At 42.4% G+C, this 23531-nt stretch overlaps 1 protein-coding gene across 34 annotated transcripts in view, besides 1 other annotated feature; it reads left to right on the top strand.

Annotated features, from left to right (window-relative positions):
- CSGALNACT1 (chondroitin sulfate N-acetylgalactosaminyltransferase 1) overlaps positions 1 to 23531 on the top strand; it is a 353748-nt gene that overhangs the window by 42451 nt on the left and 287766 nt on the right. For 5 of the 34 annotated variants that reach the window (NM_001354475.2, XM_047421965.1, NM_001354484.2 and 2 more), the window contains one exon: positions 434 to 573. The exons of the other annotated variants lie outside the window; for them this stretch is intronic. The gene's annotated coding sequence lies outside the window, so the exon portion shown is untranslated. The remainder of the gene's footprint in view (positions 1 to 433; positions 574 to 23531) is intronic. 34 annotated transcript variants of the gene reach the window in all.
- Positions 7359 to 7438: an enhancer, noted in NCBI's record as "active region_27058". NCBI's record gives its function as "activates an Ori minimal core promoter by ATAC-STARR-seq in GM12878 lymphoblastoid cells {active_cell/tissue: GM12878}" and the evidence as "EXISTENCE:reporter gene assay evidence [ECO:0000049][PMID:35858748]".

Below are 23531 nucleotides of genomic sequence, written 5' to 3'. Positions count from 1 at the left end.
GTCATGTCCTTTGCAGCAACATTGGTGGAGGTGGAGGACATTATCCTAAGTAAACCAACACAGGAACAGAATAGCAAATCCCATATGTTCTCACTTATAAGTGGGAGCTAAATATTGAGTACTGATATGGTTTGGCTCTGTGTCCCCACCCAAATCTCATTTTGAATTGTGCTCCCATAATTCCCACGTGTTGTGGGAGGGACCTAGTGGGAAATAATTTGAATCATGGGGGCAGTTTCCCCCATACTGTTCTCGTGGTAGTGAATAAGTCTCACGAGATCTGATGGTTTTATCAGGGGTTTCCACTTTTGCATCTTCCTCATTTACTTTTGCTGCCACCATGTAAGAAGTACCTTTCACCTCCCACCATGATTCTGAGGCTTCCCCGGCCATGTGGAACTATAAGTCCAATTAAACCTCTTTTTCTTCCCAGTCTTAGGTATGTCTTTATCAGCAGCATAAAAACGGACTAATACAAGTACACAAGAATACAAAGAAAAGAACAGCAGACACTGGGGCCCACTTGAGGGTAGAGGATGGAAGGAGGATGTGGATCAAAAGCCTACTTATCAGGTATTACGCTTATTACCTGGGTATTGAAATAATCTGTATACTGAACCCCTGCAACATGCAATTTACCCATATAACAAACCTGCAGACGTACTCCTGAAACTAAAAGTTAGAAAACAGAAAAAAAAAAAAATATCCCAGGAGACAAAGCAGTCATCGGGACCAGACTCAGACATGTCACAGATGTTGGAACCACCTGATAGGGGGCTTAAAATAACTATGATTAATAAGCTAAAGGCTCTAATAGAAAAGGTAGGCAATGCACAAGAATGAATGAGTTAATAGAAATTACCCAAACTAAAACACAAAGAGAAAAAATTTTTAAAAAGGAAAAACAAGAATAAAACCAAACGCCTCAGAGCTCTGGGGTAAAATCAGTCTAACATATAGTTTATTGGAATTCCAGAAGGAGACTGGAGAGAGAGAATAGAGATGGGAAAATATTTAAAGAAATGGTGGCTGAGAAGTTTCCCAAAGTAATGACAGACACCAAATTACAGATCCGAGAGGCTCAGGGGGTTACCAGGCAGGATAATTACAACAAAAAAAAAACATACCCAGGTATGTTATACTCCAACAGTTGTAAACAAAAGAGAAAGACAAAATTATAATTCAGCCAGAGGAAAGGAAGCTAAGTATAGGCTGCTTTTCAAGGAGAAAAATTAGAGGGCTGGAGTTAGGTTACACAGCAGACAACAAAAGTTTGAAATTATTGGAGCAAGAGATCAACAGGAGTGGGGAATAATTGGATAAGGTTTATAGATGAGAAAATTAGCCTTTGAAAGGAGAAACAGCTCCTTCTTTTAAAAGACAAGATCAAAAGAAGAAGGGTGAAGCTGGAGAGTGCTTTGGGTGCAGAGAGGAGGATGTGGAGGTGAACTCATTCCAGTGCCATGCATCCATTGAGTAAAGTAGGACACAGGTCTTCAGCAGGATCAGAGAAAGGCATTTCCTAAACGTGTTCTGTGGTTTCCTTTCACCACAGCTTGGCTTCTCTCTTTCTTCCAGTCCCCTTCTCCATCTGGGGCTGCCCTGGCAAAATACCACAAACTTCATAGTAGCAAAAACGTATTGAAATTAATTTCAACTGAAATGTGTGGTCTTGCAGATCTCGAGGCTGGATGTCTGGAATTAAGGTGTCCTCAGGGCGAGATCCCCTCTGAAACCCATAGGGGGTCCTTCCTTGCCACTTTCTAGCTTCTTGTCGCTTGCCAGCAATCTTTGGTGTTTCTTGGCTTGCAGCTGCAGCAGTCCAGTGTCTGCCTTTTTCATCACATGACATTCTGTGTGTGTCTCTGTGTTCTCATAAGGATACCATTCACATGGGATCCAGGGGCCCACTTGCTCCGGTATGGCCTCATCTTAACTAACCACATCTGAAGCAACCTTATTTCCAAAAAAGGATGCATTGTGAGCTACTGTGGGTGAGGACTTCCACCTATCTTTTTTAGTGGGGACACAATTCAACGCATAACACTTACTAAGTCTTCATCCCTCTTTATACAATTTTCTTCTAGGGAAATCCAACTCACTCTCTGAAGTGCACTTGAGTCCTGCCTCCTACCTGAAGCCTTTCATAATGGAATTCCCTCCTCTCAGCACTCTGTCATGCCCTTCAAACAAGTTATATCTTTTATGTGGTTCGCTATTCCTGTCTGCCCAGCGCGGCTCACCATCCTGAGAGTGGAAATGATTCAGCTGCTCTGTGCACCCTTCACAGGGTCCAGAGGCACTTCCTAGTGAGATGATTTAGGATCTTGCAGTACAGAGAAAACCATTACAATCAGAGGAAATGGGGATGGAGAGTAATCAGGCAATGTTTTCTGAAAGAGGTGAGATAAAGCACTGGAAAGATGGGAGGAAGAGAGAATATTCCAGGCTGTTTTGTGAAAATAGTATTTTTTCGTTTTGAGGGTAAGATTGTAACCATGCTTCCTTACAATGATGTTTTAGAATGTTCTGCATAGGGTCCACCAGGAGCCTTAACATCAGTCAGGATTGGGTTCATTGTTTCCAACTGCACTTGGATGTTTCTTGCCAAGCTTGGCCCTCTGCACATTTTAGATATTCCATCTCTGTTAACTGTCTATGCCTTTAGCTGCCTCAGTGAGATGCTCATCTGTCTTTAGCAAGGTAACAGGTGCTGTCCATCCATGCATTTTGGTTCTGTTGTGTTCTGGTGCTGTTTTGGCCAGGAAGGCACTGCATTTTAAGAAACGCAGTGGTTGGCATTTCTTTTGTGTAATGGCGGTAGTTAGAGTGCAGAGACTTGGTGGCAATAAGGAAGAGATTTGCAGGGATGATTTTAGGATATGCTGAGTTTGGTAGAAGCACAGCAAGGCCTACTTGGGCCCTTGGAGAACAAGCAGAGTGAATGTTCAGGAAGAGAGTACTCAGTGGCTAGAGGTAGGCACCATGAGTTTAAAATGCTGCCATTATATTCTTTTCCTGGTTCCCTACTACAGACAGCTAAAATCTCTAGGTACTTCCATCCTCCAACTGTTCCTGTGAAGCTTGGTACAACAATGAGCATGAGTTTTAGTGTTGAAGAGCTCTGAGTTCTGGCCAGGCGCGGTGGCTCACGCCTGTAATCCCAGCACTTTGGGAGGCTGAGGTGGGCGGATCACGAGGTCAGGAGATCGAGACCATCCTGGCTAACATGATGAAACCCCATCTCTACTAAAAATACAAAAAATTAGCCGGGCGTGGCGGCGCGAACCTGTAGTCCCAGCTACTCAGGAGGCTGAGGCAGGAGAATGCCGTGAACCTGGGAGGCGGAGCTTGCAGTGAGCCGAGATCGCGCCACTGCACTCCAGCCTGGATGACAGAGCGAGACTCTGTCTCAAAAGAAAAAAATAAAAGAGCTCTGAGTTCTAACCCCGGCTTCACCACTTATTATTTCTGTGATGCTGGGCGTGCTGCTTCCACATCTGTCCAATGGGTTTAGCACCACCTTTAGAGTTAGTGGGAAGGTTCAATGAGATAAGATATTAAGATAATTGAAAAGTGACCATCCCAGTAGTGCCTGGCATGTTGGAGGTGCCACACACTGTTCGTTTATCCTTTCCTAGTTTTGAAGAGTATGGGACACCACGACAAAGAGGAGTGAAGTGGCTACAGGTGGGCATGTCAATGAAGGCTGGAATGGAAGTGAATTATTGGGATGATGCTCTGGTCACCTGTGAGATGTCATATTGAGATTCCCTTCTTCAGCTGCAGGCATCTGCCAGGTGTTAGGCTTTTTGCTTCTCAATGTTCATTCTTTTATAGCCTAAGATCCATTTGGCAAGTACATTTCTGAAATATATTAATTTTTACATGGATAATAATGCTGATTTAGGGGGTTATACTGTAAAAGCTTCCATATAAGTTTGCTTTATTTGCCATGTTCCCTTAAATAGACGCCACGCTGTTGAAATACATTAATTCCTGCTACTTGGCACACAGGGTTTGGTCTCCTATATTTCATCACCAAAGTGAATTGTCTTAAAATTTATTGTTGAACTTGTTACACTCTCTTCCTTTGTCTCTTTTTCTACTTCTTCCTTGCCCCACCCTCCTGCAGGAGGGAAATGTTTTCCACTGCTTTAAAATTGATTAATAAATATTTCAGGATAAAAATATCGGTTTTAAAACTTTCAGCTTCTATCTTTTTTTCCTCCCAGCACAACTCGACTATCACTGTTGATGACTGCTTACTTTCTATTGGGCCTGACTTAGCAAAAGGACTATGAATTATCCTTTAAAGACATATAAAAATCTAAAGCTATGTTGCCTTTGGAAATATATTTATATTTAAAGCATAAATTAAGAAAAAAATGAATATGTAAAGGTTGACCAAACAGTTCTAGAATAGCAGCAGGGGGTGGGTGGGGCAATGAACCACAGGGCCAATCTTCCTTGAAGCATGTGGAGACTGTCTTACTAATCCTTCTTTCAGGCAGTACTTTTGAGGAAAAAAAAAATCAGAGAGGAGCATACGGTAGTGATGCAATCGAATAAAGAAAGAGAATGTGAAAGAGACAATCTAGGCTGTGTTTACCAGCACCTCCTTGGCCTTCATGTATAAATATAACAGGAGCGCAAATGCTTATGATGATTTCAGGAGCATTGCCTCTGAAACTGGCAAACAGTAATGGTAAGAAGTAATTATAGGGTTTCTACTCAATTTCACACATTATGCAAGAAGTGTTAAAGGAAGGATTTTTACCCTTCAAACATGTTCTCATTTCTTTTTTTTTCCATCCAGAAAAGTACAGAGAGTAATAAAACAAGAACTCGTGGACCACTCCCTACCCTAGAACTAATACATATTAACATTGTGCCCTGTTTGCTTCAGATTTGTTTTTAAATGAAAGAAATAAAATATTTCTGACCAATGTACTCTTTGTTCCTCTCCCTTCCCTCCTCAGAAGAAGCCACGATTGTGAACTTGGTGTGTTTCGTGTCACCAAGCATAGCGTTGTTAAGGCGATCTATTTCTTTTACAGGAACCATCCTTTTTTCAGATGATTTCACTGCTTTATCATAGGTGCTATAAAACAAACTAGATGACTGCAGCAATCTTGCTGAACTGACTCTCAGCTGGTAATTAGTTCTTGACAAATGGATTATAGACCCTATTCACTCCCCATATATAGTCATGCTGTGTTAATTTTTAATTATGCGTTTTATGGAATGACAGAGAAAATTATAATTAATTTATGGCTTTTTGGGTTTCTTTTTCTCTAACATTTTGAATCAGAAGTCACAGATAATTTCCAGGGATACGGATGAAACTGGTTTTGTTGCAGTGTTTTCCTAGAAGTATTTCTTAAGGAGGAAAAATTAAGCCTGTGGGGAGTAAATATTTCACACATGTCTTGCCTCCTTCCAAGCTGTGAAATGAAAGTAAGAAGTAATTAGTCATTTACATCTGCTGTGGACCCAACCCAGCTTTGACTTTGCATCTGGTCTGGTTGCAGACTGGAGCAAATGTTCTGTAGGGGCCTTTAGGAGTGGAAGGCACTCAGTCCCAGAGTGCCCTAGAGCTCTGTCCTGCGTCCACTTACAATCTTACCTGACCTGCCTGTCATCCTGCGCTGTGCATTAGACATACCTGGGGGACTTGGAAAACTCCCCATGCCACACCCAGACAATGACATCAGACTCTGGGCGGGGGGGCAGGCTCAAACCTCCATAGTGCCTAATGCCCTCGTGGTGATACCACTGAGTGCCAAGTTGAGAAGCACCACTTGGAAAGCAACAAGCTATTTTGGCCTTCCTCTAGGTTCCAGAAGTCACCAAGGGCTTTCCAGCCTCAGGAGCACTTGCTGTTCCCTCTGTAGGAACCACTTCATTCTCTCAGTTCATTTCTCCTGAGAAAGGCCTTCCTTGATCATCCTTTCTAAAACAGATCCCCACCCTTCACCAGCTAACCCAAAGCATGACATCCTACTTATTTCCTTGCTAGCCCTAGACTTTTGTGAAATCATCTGTTAATTTGTTTGCTTTCTATTGTCTCTTCCTCCCTTCACTAGAATATAAGCCCCTTGAAGGCAGGCCTGATGCCTACGACAGTGCCTGGTATAATATATACATATAACGTATTTGTTAAATGAGAATGAATTCTGATATCAAGATGCATTGAAGGGATACTGAGCATAGGCTTGAGTCCTTTTTCTAAGACCTGGAGAAGAGTTAGCTTCTTTCCAGCATAGCTGTACCCACCTCTTGGCAAGTATGTAATCGGAACACAGGCTGGCAGCTCGTTCTTGAATCCAGCCCTGTTCCTGTTTCCTGATCTTGCCCTCAGCATCTCCAAATGAGTAATAATAATAATAACCATAAAAATACAGACATAAATATGATAATAGTCAGCTTTAAGGTACATTCATGTACTTTATCTAATGTGATCTTTCCTGTGGAATGGGGATGATCATACAGATGGTGAAACAGGCTCTGAGCAGTTAAATGACACGTGCAAGTCCACATATGTGGTACATGATGGAATTAGAATTTGTACCTCCTTGGGACACCATGAGAGGGACAAGAGAGGGCACCAGACCTTCCAGGAATAGGGAGCACTCACCTGCCCCTCCACTCAGTGCTAACAACGGCACTTTTTCCTCCTGAAGCTCTGTGTTCTTGTTGGTTTAAACAGTCCCGGGGAGTGGACAGAACGGCCAGTGGAATGGGGAGAGGATGGAGCAGTAATGAGGAGGAAGTCTTCCCCATCTCCTGCCTTGCACATTTGGAACCTGGTGCTGAGTCCTCAGCTCATATTTGCTGAGTTCTTTTAATGGAAGGGTTCACACATACCTTGAGGATGTGATCTTCCTAACTCGCTGTGACCCAGCAGGCAGCAGGTTTTGTAGCTGAGTAGTTGGAGCTATGCTGCTTTATTTCACTTGGTTGGCTTGTGAGGACAGCCTCCCCTCCACAGTGTGCCGCTGTGAATATATTACTCATAATGGAACCCATGTGACTTTCAGGAAAATATCCTAAAATCTGGGGTAGCTGTTAATCAATGGATCAGTTTTGACATGGCTACTGATGATAGAGGTGAAAATACCTCACGCTGATGGGCATCCCAGGTGATGCAGTGGGCTCCTAGGTGCTGAGTCTGCTGGAATGTCCCATAACTCAGACCTACGTGCTGTGCACATTTCTTTGCATGTAAGAAACATTTGCATAATTTCACCATTAGAATGTCAAAATAAAACAGGGCAATGTGACCAGTTACCTTGACCTCAGAACCAAATTAAACTGCTTTCCTCCCGTTCTCAGTTCCCCCTCCTTAGCACCTGTCTGTGTTCCTTCCTCTGCTCAGCTCATCCTTTCTCAGGGTGGAGCAGCAGTGTTTTTTTGTTGTTTATATCTAATATAGTTTTTCTTTTTTGAGATGGAGTCTCGCTCCGTCACCCAGGCTGGAGTGCAGTGGCGCCATCTCAGCTCACTGCAACCTCTGCCTCCCCCTCCTTGGGTTCAAGCGATTCTCCAGCCTTAGCCTCCCAAGTAGCTGGGACTACAGGCATGCGCCATCACGCCCGGCTACTTTTTGTATTTTTAGTAGAGACAGGGTTTCACCATCTTGGCCAGGCTGATCTCGATCTCCTGACCTCAAGTGATCCACACACATCAGCCTCCCAAAATGTTGGGATTACAGGTGTGAGCCACCACACCCGGCCTTATAGCTAATATAGTTTAGGGGTTTTTTTGTGGATTAAAAAAAGCATATTAGTTAAACATATACTGTTTATCTAGTCTTCCATTGCGTGTAGCTCTTGTAGAGGGTGATTTAATACCCTGATTGGCCTGGGACAATCTCAATTTGTGTCAGTGGTCCCAACAGTTATTAATAGTGACTTCTTTTACTCTAGGCATGTACTGGTTCAAATGATAAATTGTAGAGGATTTCTACTCCAGAATGATTTTCTCCCTAATTCCTTCCTTTTGATCAATGACTTTAAATAAAAATGGCTGCATGTCTGATACTGTATTATTTACATGCAGTTCTATTCGGGGTATCAGAAATAACTAGTAAAGAGGTTGGCTACTGTGGTTTTATCGGGTCCCTTAGTTCACAGAGCTATTAATTGAGATTTAAAAGTTGTAATTTGTTATGCCTAATTATAGAACACTTATGGATGTAGAACTGCTTGATCTGTCAACCAATCAAGAATTTCCTGGCTTTAGCACCAGTATTTCCATGGACACTGTTGGTGTTTTCAAATCCTGTTTACACCCCATGCTACTTTTCTCTTGAGCTACCTTCTGGAGTTACCTGACTTGGATTGTCTTGGTGAATAGATCAGAAAGGCAGTAACCTCCTACTAGATGAATCCCTGGGTGCTGGTAAGAGCTTCCCGGCCTCTCTCCTTCCCCCATCTCACATATCCTTAGTGTTACCAGCTTCCCTTATGTGAAATATTTTTAGCTCTAGGACTGTCCTGGTGTCGATTTTGATCAGATACGAGGCCAAAGAGGTGTAGTTGCTCACACCTGTAATCTCAGCACTTTGGGAGGCCAGGCAGGGAGAATCACTTGAGGACATGAGTTCAAAACCAGCCTGGGCAACATAGCAAGATCCTGTCTCTACAAAAGATTTAAAAAAATGTAGCCAGGCATGGTGGTGCATGCCTGTAGTGCCAGCTACTAGGGAGGCTTGGTGAGGAGGATTGCTTGAGCCGGGAGTGCCCACACCTGATGTCTGGGGTTTGGGCTTCACACACAAGGAGGAGCCTGACCTGCAGATGCTCTGGTAGGTATCCCACTGCCAACATTTATTATTGCTATTTACTTGTTCCCCATTAAAATGATTCCTCTTCTTCCCTTGTGGTTGGAGGCTAAAGAGATGTCCTTCTGGGTGTTTTGTGGACTTGGGGCTAGGAAAAGGCACTCCTTTAAACCTGATTCAGTGTATTCCAGTGTCTGATTTTAGTGCCTGTGTTATTCAATTCCTTGACCTCATGGGCTGCCGTGGCTCCACTGCTCTCTTAGGTTTCCCCAGCCTCCGCCGCAGTTTTCCTTTTAGGAAGTAACACTTCCTTTGAGGATGTGGAGGAAATTCTCTTTATGACAATACAGATACAGATTGAGCCTGGCTTCAGTTCACAAACCACAGGGACAATGACTGCCTTTTTGTAAAATACCTTTAGAGCATGAAGCAGAATTCTCCCTAATCTAAATGAATTAACTATGACATTGGGGAAGGCTTGGTGAGTTCACAAAGACATAAGGCCTCACACAGCTGTCCCCCGTTGTCATCCTTGCATGCTATTTGCTTTGTAAGGGCCCTGTATGATTGGGAGGTGGAGAAATCTATTTTAGTTTTTATTTGATCTGATTAGTATTTTTCCATGTCTGGGTTTATTTGTAGCTACTGCACCTCCAGATTTTTTTGCCTTTGTCTTCATGTTGGAGGGGAGGTTCGGGGATTCAGATAATCAAGTAATACAAGGTAATTGAAGATAATCGAGGAAATGAAAGAAAATGAAAATTAGTCGTGCCCTGTCATTCGATTATTCAGCTTTAACTAGCATCAACATTCTGGAATGTTGCTTTACTTTTATGTTTATGGTTGTATTTATATATTAAACATCTATTCATAATATGTCATGTACAATTTTTGAAACTCTAGCCTTACATTTTTTTCTCTGGATTTTTTTTTGAGACTGGGTCTCGCTCTGTTGCCTAGGCTGGAGTGAAGTAGTGCGATCTCAGCTCACTGCAGCCTCCCCCTCCCCGGCTCAGGCAATCCTCCCACCTCAGGCTTCCGAGTAGTTGGGACTATGGGCATGCACCACCATGCCCGGCTAATTTTTTGTATTTTTTGTAGAGATGGTGTTTCATCATATTGCCTAAGCTGGTCTTGAGCTCCTGGGCTTAAGCCTCCTGCCTCCTGCCTCAGCCTCCCAAAGTGTTAGGATTACAAGTATGAGCCACTGTGCCCAGCCTTCCCTGGATTTTAAAATTCAAATGATGAGCTTTTTCCTTCTAAATATTATTCAAAAACATGTCATTGAATGGATGCATAAAAATGCATTAGAAAATAATTATTGAACATTTAAATTGTTTCCAGTTTTTCCCTGAGTTAATGGAATTCTTGATGTAAGTCTTTGCATAAATAGCTACCCTTGAGTTACTATCCTTAAGGTAGAATTACTGATTTACTTTCTATTTGTTTTTCCCCCAAGTTTATTGAAGTATAATTGGCAAAAATTACATACAGTTAAGGTGTACAATGTGATGCTTTGGTATATGTTGTGAAATGATTACCATAATCAAGCTAATTATCACCTCACATAGTACCTTTTTGTGGTGCAAATACTTAAGATCTACCCTCTTAGCACATTTTAAGTGGGCAATACGTGTATTAACTACAGTCACTATGATGTAGGTTACCAGAACTTATTCATCTTGTAATGGAAAGTTTGCATCATTTAAGCAAAATCTCCCCATTTCCCAACTCTGTTTTCACACAGTAACTACCCTTTTAGTCTGTTTGAGTTCAACTTTTAAAACTTCCATATTGAAATGAGATTGAGCAATGTTTTTCTTTCCATGTCTAGGTTGTTTCACTTAGCATAATGTCCTCCAGGTTCATCCTTGTTATCACAAATGGCAGGATTTTCTACTTTTTTAAGGTAAATAATATTCTGTTTTATGTATATATCACATTTTCTCCATCCATCCATCCATTTATCCACCCATCCATCCATCCATCCGTCTATGGGTACTTAAATTGTTTCCATATCTTATTGTGAATAATGCTGCAGTGAAAATAGTGCAGGTATCTCTTTGAAAAAGTGATTTTATTTCCTTGTGTATATACCCAGAAGTGAGAGTGCTGGATCATAGAGTAGTTCCATTTTTAATTTTTGAAGAACCTCAATACTGTTTTCCATAATGGCTATACCAATTTACACTCCTATCAACAATGTATATGGATTCCCTTTTCTCCAAGTCCTCGACAACACTTGATATTTTTGACTTTTTCATCACAGCCATCTTAAGGTGTGAAGTGATAGATGACTGTGGTTTTGATATGCAAGAAATTTATTTTTAAAAAGTATTAATGGTACTTTGGAAAAATTCAAAATTTCTTCTCCATCTAACAATATAATATCGGCCTGGAAGGGTCTGTGATTCAAATGCCCTGTTACCTTTCTTCTTTCTCCTTTGGCAGCACATTCGTTTAGTGCCTTGTTTTTCCAGGGACTGGGGGAAATGGAAGAGAGGAAAGGAGGGAGAGAAGAGAATAAGAATGATCCATGTAATTATGTAATTAACCATCAAGCTTGGTTAATTCAGAGCATTCTCATTCTTTCATTCATTCAAAACTTTAAAAAGTAAGATCTCCCATGTGCAGTGTAGTGTGTTAGGCTTACTGAGTGGGGCTGGAAGAGCAAATCAGACATAGATGATACCCTCAAGGGTCTGACAGCTCTCAGGAAAGATGTCACTGCCAGATATGCACCCGTACTATGTAAGAGGCTCCTGAGAGCTGCGTGTAGGATAAGGGAGGAAAGCCAGTGCATGGGCAGTTTCCTAAAAAACACTGTTAATTGTAACGTACTTTGTAGAGAACTAAACTTAATCACAAAAATTACTTGGTGTAGAATATGTTGTTCTGAGTGAATGAATCTGATAACTTTGTATCAATCAGGGAGACATGCAGACCATGAGAGGATTTCTTGTATTGATTAAACTTTGTTTTACTGTGGAAGGTGCTGTGCAGTCAGTAGTAACCAACTCTCCAGTTACCTGAAGGTCTGAGGAGCACTAAAAACAAAGAGAGGGCTGGGCATGGTGGCTCACACCCACCGGTAATCCCAGCACTTTGGGAGGCCCAGGCGGGTGGATCATGAGGTCAGGAGATCAAGACCATCCTGGCTAACATGGTGAAAACCTGTCTGTACTAAAAATACAGAAAATTAGCCGGGCTTGGTGGCAGGTGCCTGTAGTCCCAGCTACTCAGGAGGCTGAGGCAGGAGAATGGCATGAACCTGGAAGGCAGAGCTTGCAGTGAGCTGAGATCCCGCCGCTGCACTCTAGCCTGGGTGACAGAGTGAGATGGCGTCTCAAAACCAACCAACCAACAAACCAAGAGAGGTCAGCCTGTTCTTATTATGTAACAACTTCGAGTGGCTCAAATCCCAAGTCACATGCCACGTCAATGGCTCCTTCTGAACAAGGGCTGAGCTGCCATGGGTCTAGTTGAGAAGGAAAAGCTCTCGATTTCAGGGTCTTGGGTTATTTTGGTAATAGATCAGAAGACAGTAGCATCCTATTGGAGGGACACTAGTGAGCACTTCCCAATGACCTCCCTTCTTCCCCTGCCTCAGACATCCATAGGGTTACAGGTTTCCCTTTTGAGCTTGAATTCTGTCCACGGTGATCATGTTGATCAGATGAGATATAAAGGGAAGTGAACCCACACCAGGAAGGGGGCTAAGAGGGGTGTAGGGGAAGAAGTGGATCTAGTCATTGGCCCTGGTCTAAGTGGGGGCTACTGGGTGGGGGGCTGGGCTACACTGATTCCCTTTAGGGGAGACCCTGAAACCCAGAGCTTTTCCTTCTGCACTAGATCCATGGCAGCTCAGCCCTTGTCCAGAAGGAGTCATTGACATGGTATGTGACTTGAGTCTTGAGGACGAGGTCTGGTATAGACACATGGAACTGGGTGATGGATGGGAGAAGATGGGTGTCTGGCCAACAGAGCAGTCTGTGACAAGGACTGAGATGGAGCATTCCAGGTGCATGCAGGGGACAACCAGTGCTTAGTTTGGCTGGAGGGTTTTGCTTGGGAAGGGGAGTGCTGGAAAGGTGGGAAAGGGCTGGGAGCAGATGCAGGTTGAAGAATTTGAATTTTAAAAAATTAATTAAGTTTTTTTTTAGAGACATAGACCCTGACACCTAAACTGGAGTGCAGTGGTGTGATTATAGCTCACTGCAGCCTTCAACTCCTGGGCTGAATTGATCCTCCAGCCTCAGCCTCCCAAGTAGCTGGGACTACAGGTGTATCCTCAACTAATATTTAAATTTTAATTTTATTGTAGAGATGAGGTCTCACTATGTTGCCCAGGCTGGTCTCAGAAGGAATCCTTCTGCCTCAGCCTCCCAAAGCATTGGGATTACAGGTGTGAGCCATTGCACCTGGCCCAGAGTTTGGCTCTAGGGATCCACTGAATACCTTTGGGAAGGGCTGTGAGGGGCTCAGAGCTCCACTGTAGAGAGATTCATCTTGCAATGGTGGTGTGATGGATGGTGAAGAGGAGGGATCAGAAACAAGGGCATCTGTTAGGAGGCTATAATGATGGTTCAAGCAGTATTTAATGTAACAGGTAGGCACTTATGAAGCCAATCAAATGTTTGCCAGACCTGTAAGAATCTCAGTTCCTAAAGGAAATAATTCTCAAATAAAGGAGCAATTTGGGGATGGCATATAATAAGAATTTTCATTAATGAATCAACAAAGCTGCTTTAAGATGAGTATATCTGTGTTTATTCATTTGTGCAGTGTATATTAGTTTGTTCTACTTGATATTATCATCTTGTAGTGGTTAAAAGCATGGATTCTGGAACCAGATTGAGTGGATTGAAAGTCGAGTCTTACCACTTATTAGCCACAAGATCTTGGGTAAATTACTTAAACTTTCTGGGCTTCAGTACGTGACATGTAGGATGCGCTGCATAGATATTAACATTGTCATCATCATTATCCTTGTGATCATCGTCATCATTATCCAGTAACATTTATTCATAACTTAATTGTCTATGTAGGGTCTTTTCAGGATCTTAGGTGTACCCCTGAGGAATTGCATTTGGCTAAGAGTGACAGACCTTCCACTGTGTGGTCTTAAACTCCAAGGGTTAATTTTCAGAACATAACAAGAAGACTGGAGGTACACAGTTGCTGGCACTGCTTTGGTGTCTTAAGATATCAGAGTAGGCTTGGTGCAGTGGCTCACACCTGTAATCCTAGCACTTGGGGAGGCCAAGGTGGGCAGATCACTCAAGGTCAGGAGTTTGAGGCCAGCCTGGCCAACATGGTGAAACCCCTTGTCTACTAAAAATACAAAAATTAGCTTGGTGTGGTGGCACATCTGTAATCCTAGCTAGCCAGGAGGCTGAGGCACGAGAATTACTTGAACCTGGGAGGCTGAAGTTGCAGTGCATGGAGATCACCCCACTGCACTCCAGCCTGGGCAACAGAGTGAGACTCTGTATCAAAAAAAAAAAAAAAAAAAACGGATAATAGATGAACTGAAATTTTCTTGGTCTCCTTCCTTCATGAACTCAAGATGATTGCTGCAGCTCCAGCCATCATTTCTGTCTTGATGGCATAAGAGGGAAGGGTGGAAGGTCAGAAAGGCACCTGCAAGCTGAATAAGCTCTCTTTACATTCCTTCCTGCAAACCCCACCTAAGGACTTCCACTGACATTTCATTGGCTATCCCTGTTTTCAGTGGATATTGGGAAAGGTAATTTCTCCAAAAATTTTGCCCCCTTCAAAAATACAAATGTTCTGTTACTAAGAGAAAGGGAAGGATGGATATGATATGGGAAACTAGGGGCTACTGCCACACTGCAGGAAAGTGACCTCAAGGGTTTCAAAGAATTTTATAGAGGTTGATTGCCTTTTCTTGGACAGACAGATTTTGGTGGTCTATTTGTTTCATTTTTAGCATATGTTAAGATTTGCCTTTAAGAAGTTTGTTCAAGAGAGGAAGGACAATTACAGAAAGAGATAGGAACATCGGATGTTTTCAGTTCAATCAATTGTAGGTGCAGGGATAGAGGGAGAGACTTGGTTCACATTCATAGATACCACCATGGATCATGCACTAAGTCCTCCCTGATTAATGGTGAGGAAGGCTGTGTCATACGGTCCGTATCCTTTCTATCATATTTTCACCCATAACTACTTTGTCAATAATATAAAAACACCTTAGTACCATTATGAGAGGCATAAAAGGAAGGCTATTAGCCTGATTTTGTAGATAGGAAAGATCACTGGGCCAGGTTTATTAATAAGGAAGGACACCATGGCAACACATTATAATGACTTCCTAACCTCAAGTCACAGTCGAAGTTGAAAGCAAACCTGTGAGTGCTGTCTAGGAAGATCACACACCCGGAAATAGGAGGTTTGGTTTCTAGGCCCAGGTCTGCAGTAAACAATTTATATTACTAAAAAAAAAACCTGACTTAACATCATTGTGCCTTATTTCTTATTTTAAAATGGGAAATAATACTTACCTAAGTTTTTTTTTTTCTTTTTTTTTTTTTTGAGACGGAGTCTCACTCTGTTACCCAGGCTGGAGTGCAGTGGTGTGATCTCAGCTCACTGCAACCTCTGTCTCCTGGGTTCAAGTGATTCTCCTGCCTCAGCCTCCTGAGTAGCTGGGACTACAGGCACGCGCCACCATGCCCAGCTAAGTTTTGTATTTTTTAGTAGAGACAGGGTTTCATCATGTTGGCCAGGCTGGTCTCAAACTCCTGACTTCGTGATCTGTCCCCTCTTCGGCCTCCCAGAGGGCTGGGATTACAGGCTGAGCCACCGTGCCCAGCCCCTAAGTTCTTTTAAAAATTTTGATGAAATACACTGAACATAAAATTTACAGTGTTAACAGTGTTTAAGTGTACAATTCAGTGGCAATAGGTAGATTCACATTCTTTTGTAACCATCACTGCCATCCATTTCTAGAACTCTTCATCTTGCAAAATTGAAACTGTACCCATTAAACAAGAACTCCTGTTCCTCATTAACCATCTCCTGGCAACTGTAATTTTACTTTCTAGCTCAATGGACCTGACTACTTCAGGGACCTCATGTGAGTAACATCATATAATTTTTGCCCTTTAGTGATGGGCTTATTTTACTCAGCATCAGATCCTCATGGTTCACTTGTGTTATAGCTTGTTTCCAAATTTCCTTCCTTTTTAAGGCTGAGTAATATTCCACTTCATGATCAGAGCATTTTATGTATCTCTTCATTTGTTGATGGACAGTTGGGTTGTTTCCACCTTTTGGCTGTTGCAAATAATGCTACTATGAACATGGGTGTACAGAAATCTCTTTGAGATCCTGCTTTCAATTCTTTTGGGTATACACTTGGCCTTGTGGGTTCTGCATCTGTGGATTCAACCAACTGTGACCTGAAAATATTTGAAAAAATAAAACAAGAAAAATAGCAATGAGTCATTAAAAAACTAAAAATAAAAAACGAGGCTGGGCGCGGTGGCTCATGCCTGTAGTCCCAGCATGGGAGGCAAAGGCAGGCAGATTGCTTGAGTTTGAGACCAGACTGGGTAACATAGTGAGACCTCATCTCAAAAAAACAAAGCAAAAAAAAGAAAAAAAGAAAAAAGCAATACACTGCAACAATTATTTACATAGCCTTTACATTGCGTCAGGTATTATGAGTAATCTAGAGATGTTTAAAAAATAAGGGAGGATGTTCCTAGGTCACATGCAAATCCTATGGCATTTTATGGAAGAGACTTGTGCATTCAAGGATTTTGGTATCTGTGGGGAGTCCTGGAACCAGTCCCCCATAGATAATGAGGGATGATTGTATACTTAGAAGCAAAATTGCTGGATCATATGGTAAATCAATGATTTTTTTTTGTGGGTTATCCATTCTCTTTTCCATAGCAGCTGCACCATTTTGCATTCCTACCGGTGATTCACAAGAATTCCAATTTCTCCACATCTTTGCTAACACTTGTTATTTTCTGATCTTAAAAAAATAGTAGCCATCCTACTAAGTGTGAGGTACATAGGTAAGTTTTAAAGCAGTATCAGTAGTGCCTCCAGATTAACTTCTTTGAGAATCACTGCTCCTCTGCTTAATTCTTCGGCCTTATTGGGCAAGTTACCTTAGCCTGTGAGCCTCCGTGTCCTCTTCTGTACAATGTAAATGTCTGTAAAAAACAATTGTTATGGGTATTAATGAGATAGTAGCTTGTGCTATGTGCTTATTCAAATATTAGTTTATTTTCCCATGAGAGCAAAAGCATGAACAAGTGTGCATCGTATTCATAGTTAATATTCTCAATGTTCACAGCTGTTGGTTTCCTCCCATATCCTAACCCCAAACACAATGTTTCCAAAGTGTATGATGGAAAGAGCGTTGGTTCTGGGGCCAGAAGGCAAGGAACTGAAATCCAGCTTTCTGACTTTCTGGTTGAGGGACCTTGGACAAATTTCTTATTTTTTAAAAATCTGTATGAAGAGCATATCAAGGGGACCTCATGGGACTGCTTTGTCCAGTGACTTCTCCCTGCTTCCCCAGCAGCCTTCTCACTTCCCATTCACTCTTCAGCCCCCGCAGTGGAGCTCCCATGAATAACACTGTGACCCTTCTCACCATGACTTTCTAATTGACAAATCCGAGGATGCACTTACTTAACTTTTTGGCAGCATTTCAGTGTTTACTTCTCTATTCTTGATCTTCCTCCTTGCTTCCTGGGACACCATCTCTTTCCCCTTTCAATAGCTCTCTTTTGCAGTCGTATTTCTCACCCTCTTCTAATTCACGTTACCCTCTCTGGGTGGGACGTTACCCACCACCTCTCTCTAATGACCTTCCAATCTCTGTTTCTAGGCCTCTTTTTCTGAACTCCAGAGTCCTGTTTACCACTGCCTCTTGAGCTCCTTCAAGTCCACATGTCCCACAGTGGACTCATTGCCTCTGACTCTGCTCGGTCCCAGCAAGGGCCCTGAAGCCGCTGGACCCATAGCATGGAGCTTGCTGGGTACCTTGTACAGGGGGGCTCTGGGCTACTCACTCCCTCACTCCCCAGGTAGCATTTGGTCCAGTCTCTAGATTTTTCCAGCCATTTATCTTGCTTTTCTTCTGTTTTAGCTCTGCCCGGCCCTGAGATTTGGTGCCCAGTCATCTTACAAGGGTAGTGGCCAGACTTTCCCCAGGTGCTAATGTGACTTGTGGTTCTGTCTGGACATTTTCCCTGAACAGCCCCGTACTGTTCTTCTGCCTGAATTTCCATCATGATCAACCCCACTGTTCATCATCTGCCAAAGCCATAGACCTGGATGTCATTCTGGACTCCTTCTTGACCCTCTTGCTTGCAACCCTCAGTTCAGGGTCAGTAAGACCATGAAACTGCCTCTATGGCTCCCAAGTGCTTGCCTCTGATGTGTCTTCACTACCATTTTTCCTCTTCATGGTGGTCATCTCTCTCCATTGCTATTGCCTCTTATTTGGTCTCTTTGTCTCCATCCTTGCCTCTTTCTGGCCATCCTCCACTCTCCTGCTAGATCTGACAATGCTCTTACCTACTTGAAACTCACACTTCCCGTTCTTGTGGGAATAAAGGAGAAATTCCTATGGATGGCACACACAGGCCCTCTGCCATCTGTCCTTACCATCTTTACCTCCTGCCTTGCAACCCCTCACATGTCACTTTTGAGCTACACCAAATCACGTGGGGTTGCTTTTCATGCTAGTATTCATTGGCATGCACTGTTTTCTGCCTGGGAGGCTCTGCCTATACTTGTCTTTCTGGGAAATGCCCACTCAGCGTTTAAGATTCAGCACCATCTAAGCTTTCTCTGTAACAGTGAGAACAGTCGACACTGTGTGTGGTTCCTGTGTACCGACCCCCATTCTAGATGCCCCACATGAACTTGTGTGCTGAAGCCTTGCAACAGCCCTGTGTGGTACCTGTAGGTAGGCACCATTACTATCCCTCTCATTTAACAGTTGGGAAACTGAGGCATAGAGAGGCTGAATGTCTTGCTCGGAGTCACACAGCTAGCAAGTAGCAAGCTGCGGTCTGAAACTGGGGAGCCCCATTCTAGAGTTTGGGTTCATAACCACTGTAGCTACTGTGGTTTTTCAGCCACAGGTGGTTGCTTCCTCCTTGCACTTCCCTGCCCCCACTTCCCTTTATGTACATCTGCATCGTGGTGTTTCATATGCCCTGTTCCAATTATGTATTAAATGTTGTTCTCTCCTGCTAAACAGTGAGCCCCTTGAGGGAAGGCCTGCCTTTAATTCATGCTTATATCCCTGGAACGAAGAGTTGGTTGTTTTCAGTTGTTTGCATGACTTAAAAAAATATGACACACATTATCTTGCTTTACTGTAAGATGCTACAGTGGTGTTTGAGGCAAATTGCATAAAATGTAAGTTGGATTGGGGACAGAATCTTTTTCACATTGTCAAGTTCCCCAAAGTCCTGATGGCAGTAACCTAGACTGCTGGATGTCTAATTATTCATGATGTCCTGGAGAAAGGCAGAATTCAGCCATAGCCGTAAGCATTCCTGCCTATCCAATTTGTTTTTAAAAGACGATTTGTAGGACTATGTCTTCATACATGTTTTTGCTACTGGTCTTGGGTCTTTAAAGTTTTTAAAAATTTATATTCAGAGTGTTTTCCTGTTCATTTTTTATTTGATTAAGAAAGAACTATAAATAAACCTTAACAATACCATCGTTTTTCATGAGCGCTAATGGCTTTGTGACAGGATGATGGCTTGTGTAGTGTAGTGTTTGATTTTTTTTCTTCCTCCAATGTTGTTTGGCTGGATCATTTAGAAATATTACAAAATCTCCTGCGCTGAAGGAGAAAGCTTTTGACTCCTTTTTGACTCCACAAACTCTTAAACAACATGTGCATGATATCACATGAAAGCTTAGTAACTTTCGGAGGCCTTTCTAAATTACCCATGTTCCTTTGTCTTGACATTGTTGCTTTTCTCTTAAATTCACAATCTCTACTCCAATCTGCAGTACAGCCTCTAAAATGATGTTAGAAATCTAAACGCCATGTTTTTATTTCATCATGCTTTAATTTTACTTTGAATTAAAATATGCATTTCTTAGGTTATTTTCCTGGAGTCAATTGGAGCATTTTAGGCTTAGAAGGGATATTTGACAGTATTTAGTCCAACTTCCTTGTTATAGAAGGAAGAAGTTGAGGCCAGGAGAGAGATTGTGAAGTGCACTCTGGCCGCACAGCTAATTAGTGGCAGAGTAGAGATAAGACCCAGGATGAGACCCACAGGCTAAAATTTGCTATTTGAGTTATTTCCCCCTCATAGGCTTTCAGGAATGAAACCATCCAGAAATGAGTGGGAAGACCTAAGAAACGTCCACGTTTTATTTTTTTAATGAAGATCTTACAATTCAAATTATTTCCAGTTCTGTAGAAGCTTGAAATGAAGTCAGTGGTTTTAGGAAAATAATAACAATGCACTGTGAAAATATATTGAATTTCACATTGATGTGAAATTATGTAGGGAGATTTTGTTGGAGCTTAACATTATTGTGAACAATGTTGGGTGCTGTTCAAATACTAGAATCTCTCAGCATCCAAATACAAAGTGAGCAGAGGAGGAGTGAGCTGTAGATGGGGGGCCTGTGCTGCCTCATGACCCCTCAGCATCTGTCTCCGGGGCTTGTTGAATGGAAAGGGTCTGGGCCGTTTTGCAGACATGGGGCCTCTGTGTGCCATCTTTGCTGCAGAGGCAGCATGGAACAAACTTTTGGGGACCTTATGCATTAGTGCATTGGATCATTTTAGAAAATAACCTGCAGTATTGGACCTGTTTCTTTTCTTTCTTCTTTTTATTAATGTGCTTTACCTTCAGGTAGCTGCCTGCATTTCCTTAAGGGCAGACTGGGAATAGCTGAGCAACTAAAGAAGGGCTCAGAAGCCCTTATTAAGGTAGTTGATCAATTCTAGAAGTTTATTTAGCATTAAGGGAACCCATGCCCTTTCCTATTCTAGAAGGCCTCGTGAGCACTAACTGAGTATTTCCAAAAGCTGTAGTGCAGTATGCAACACCTATAAATATAGTGTGTGTAGGCTTAGGAAAGCCATGGCGTTTGCCAGTCCTGGCTCCAATCCTAAGTCAGCAACACTGCGATCTTCATTATGTGCAATTTTCTCTATTTTGTTTAACTTTTTAACTTTTTGAAAAATTAATTAAAGGAATTGAGCTTTCTAAGGTTGGTTGTTAAGGATAATTCAACAATGTATTTTGGAATGCGAGACTTGAAATGAGGGTAAATCTCTCTACAGAACAAGAAGCTTCCAGGGAGGACTGTCATTATACTGTACTTACTACACTTATGTGGGTAGCTGCCAAAAGCATAATCATTTTCTGGAACACTGTGTTCTCTCTTTAGTTTGTACATCTGTTGTATCTTTGTAGCCAAAAGGAAGTGGAAAGTTGTGAAAATATCAGGTGAGTTTGGGCCAGTTAGTTATTTCAAGTCACAAACTTCCTTTTGCCTGATTAAATTAAATATTCACTTAATCTTATAATTCTTATAATGTAAACTCAATAATATAAGTATTATGTATATAGTATTCAATCTTAAAAAAAGATTAAAATTGCTGTATTTGATGATATGGATGAACCTGGATGGCATTATGGTAAGTGAAATAAACCAGACATGGAAAGAAAAAAAAATTCACTTAATGTTATATGGTTGCTCCAGGAAACATTTTTAAATAGAAAATATGTATTGAGATCCTCAGAGTGTGTGTTAACTTATTATGGCAAAAACCGTAATTACTTTTGCACCAACCTAATAGTTACCGAATTCAAGAAGGGGAAGGTAGCAGATACCAGTGGAGACTGGCTTGTCCCGAGAAAGCTGGAGTTAGGTGAATATTGAGTGTGGGTGGTCAGGGCTTGGGTTGGTGTCAGGGCACAGTTGGATGAACTGGTATCAAAACTGGTTGATCACAAACAGGTAAGAACTAAAGCTCTGTATGTGAACAGGGGCTCCCTGTAGACAGGTCCAGAGAAAATCTTGGATAGGGAGCTGAGTCAGTTGGGTGGGCAGCAGGTAAGGCGTGATCAAGATTGAAGACATGAGAGGAGGCTGCATTAGTCATGGCCCATGCAATAAAATAGGAGCACTTTAATGAAAGTACTTAGTTACAAAGATCTTTAGAAGATGCGAAAAGCCAAATAGGGGTGATAAACTCACCCAGATATTAACAGTAGCAGGAAACCGTTACTATGACAAAGGCTGGTAGAACAGAGAGAGGATGGTGGTACCACAGGTGAAGAACTGCATCTGCATGGGGGTGTTCAGAAGCACCTGGGACTGTAGAGGGAAGGTCTGTCTGCTGGGAGTTGGAATCATGGAGAAGAAAAGGCCACTGCTGGAGATATCACCACAAGCAGAGAAAGGCAGGGGAGGAAATTCTCTGGCTTCCTCTGGTCCTCCAGTCTTCCACTTAAACCCAGCTGGAGCCAGTTGGCAAATAAGCCTGGAAAAGGTAGTTTGCAGGTGAAGGGTAGGGAATGAGTCAAAGAGCAAATAGGCAAATGACTGGCACATAGGCACAAGGCTGGGTCAGGGATGGAGCGAGACTCCTGGCAGGTGTGCTGATGGGGGCTGATGGCATCATGGATTTCACCTGGGTAGCAGAGCAAGCCTGCGAGAATGTTGAAGGCCTCAGAGCATCAGATGCATTGCATTTTCCCAGGCTTCTGCCAGTGCCCTCATCTGCCTGAGAGCCCTTCCTGTGCCAGGTGACAGTGCTTATTCTCCAGCCTGTTGGAAGCTCAGCCAGATTCTGGGGAGGTTAAGGATCTAGGCACTCTTTTTTTAGATTTCTATTGCCACGTGAAGCCTCAGCAGCTAGACTTTTGACCAGAGCTCCACCAAACCCTCTTGAAATTGTTGAAACGTTCTGGAAGGAAGATGGAAATTTCCATTACCATGATTATAAAATAAAGTTCTGTATTAAAAAAGCTCATTTTCTGCCTTTATGTCCTGGATGGCCACAGAAGCAACAGCCATGTGAGTTAGTCACATACATTTTTAGCCATGAATGAGGATGTCTTCTGTTCCTTGTCCCACTTCCTGTCACTCGATAAAGAAAAATGATCATTTTCATCCTCCCCATCATCATCATCACCATCTATCTCCCTTACCATGAGCGTAGACATTGAACACACCAGGTAGAACATTGTGTTATCTTCATTGCAGAGAAGGGAGGAGCTATTTGTTACAATGGTAACTATGCTTTAAGACAGTAGCTCAGTGGTTCTCCAACTTTAGTGTGAATTAGAAGCACCTGAAGGGCAGGTAACATTGCAGGAGGCTCTCCCAGCCCCTTAAGTTCTCCCACTCCATTTTTGTTTTAGTAGGTGATATGGTTTGGCTGTGTCCCCACCTAAATCTCATCTCTAATTGTAATCCCTATAATTCCTGTGTGTCGAGGGAGGGACCAGGTGGGAGGTGATTGGATCATGGGGGCGGTTCCTCCATGCTGTTCTCGTGATAGTGAGTGAGTTCTCAGGATATCTGATGGTTTTCCAAGGCAGTTTTCCCTACTCTTGCTTGCTCTTTCTCTTCTGCTACTTTGCGAAGAACTATGTGTTTGTTTCCCCTTCTGCCATGATTCTAAGCTTCCTCAGGCCTCCCCAGTCATGAAGAACTGTAAGTCAATTAAACCTCTTTTCTTTAGAAATTA

Source organism: Homo sapiens, chromosome 8 (assembly GCF_000001405.40).
Source record: "Homo sapiens chromosome 8, GRCh38.p14 Primary Assembly".
Taxonomy (NCBI): domain Eukaryota; kingdom Metazoa; phylum Chordata; class Mammalia; order Primates; family Hominidae; genus Homo; species Homo sapiens.
The sequence above is the reverse complement of the archived record's forward strand: the minus strand, read 5'-3'. Positions and strand labels throughout refer to the sequence as shown.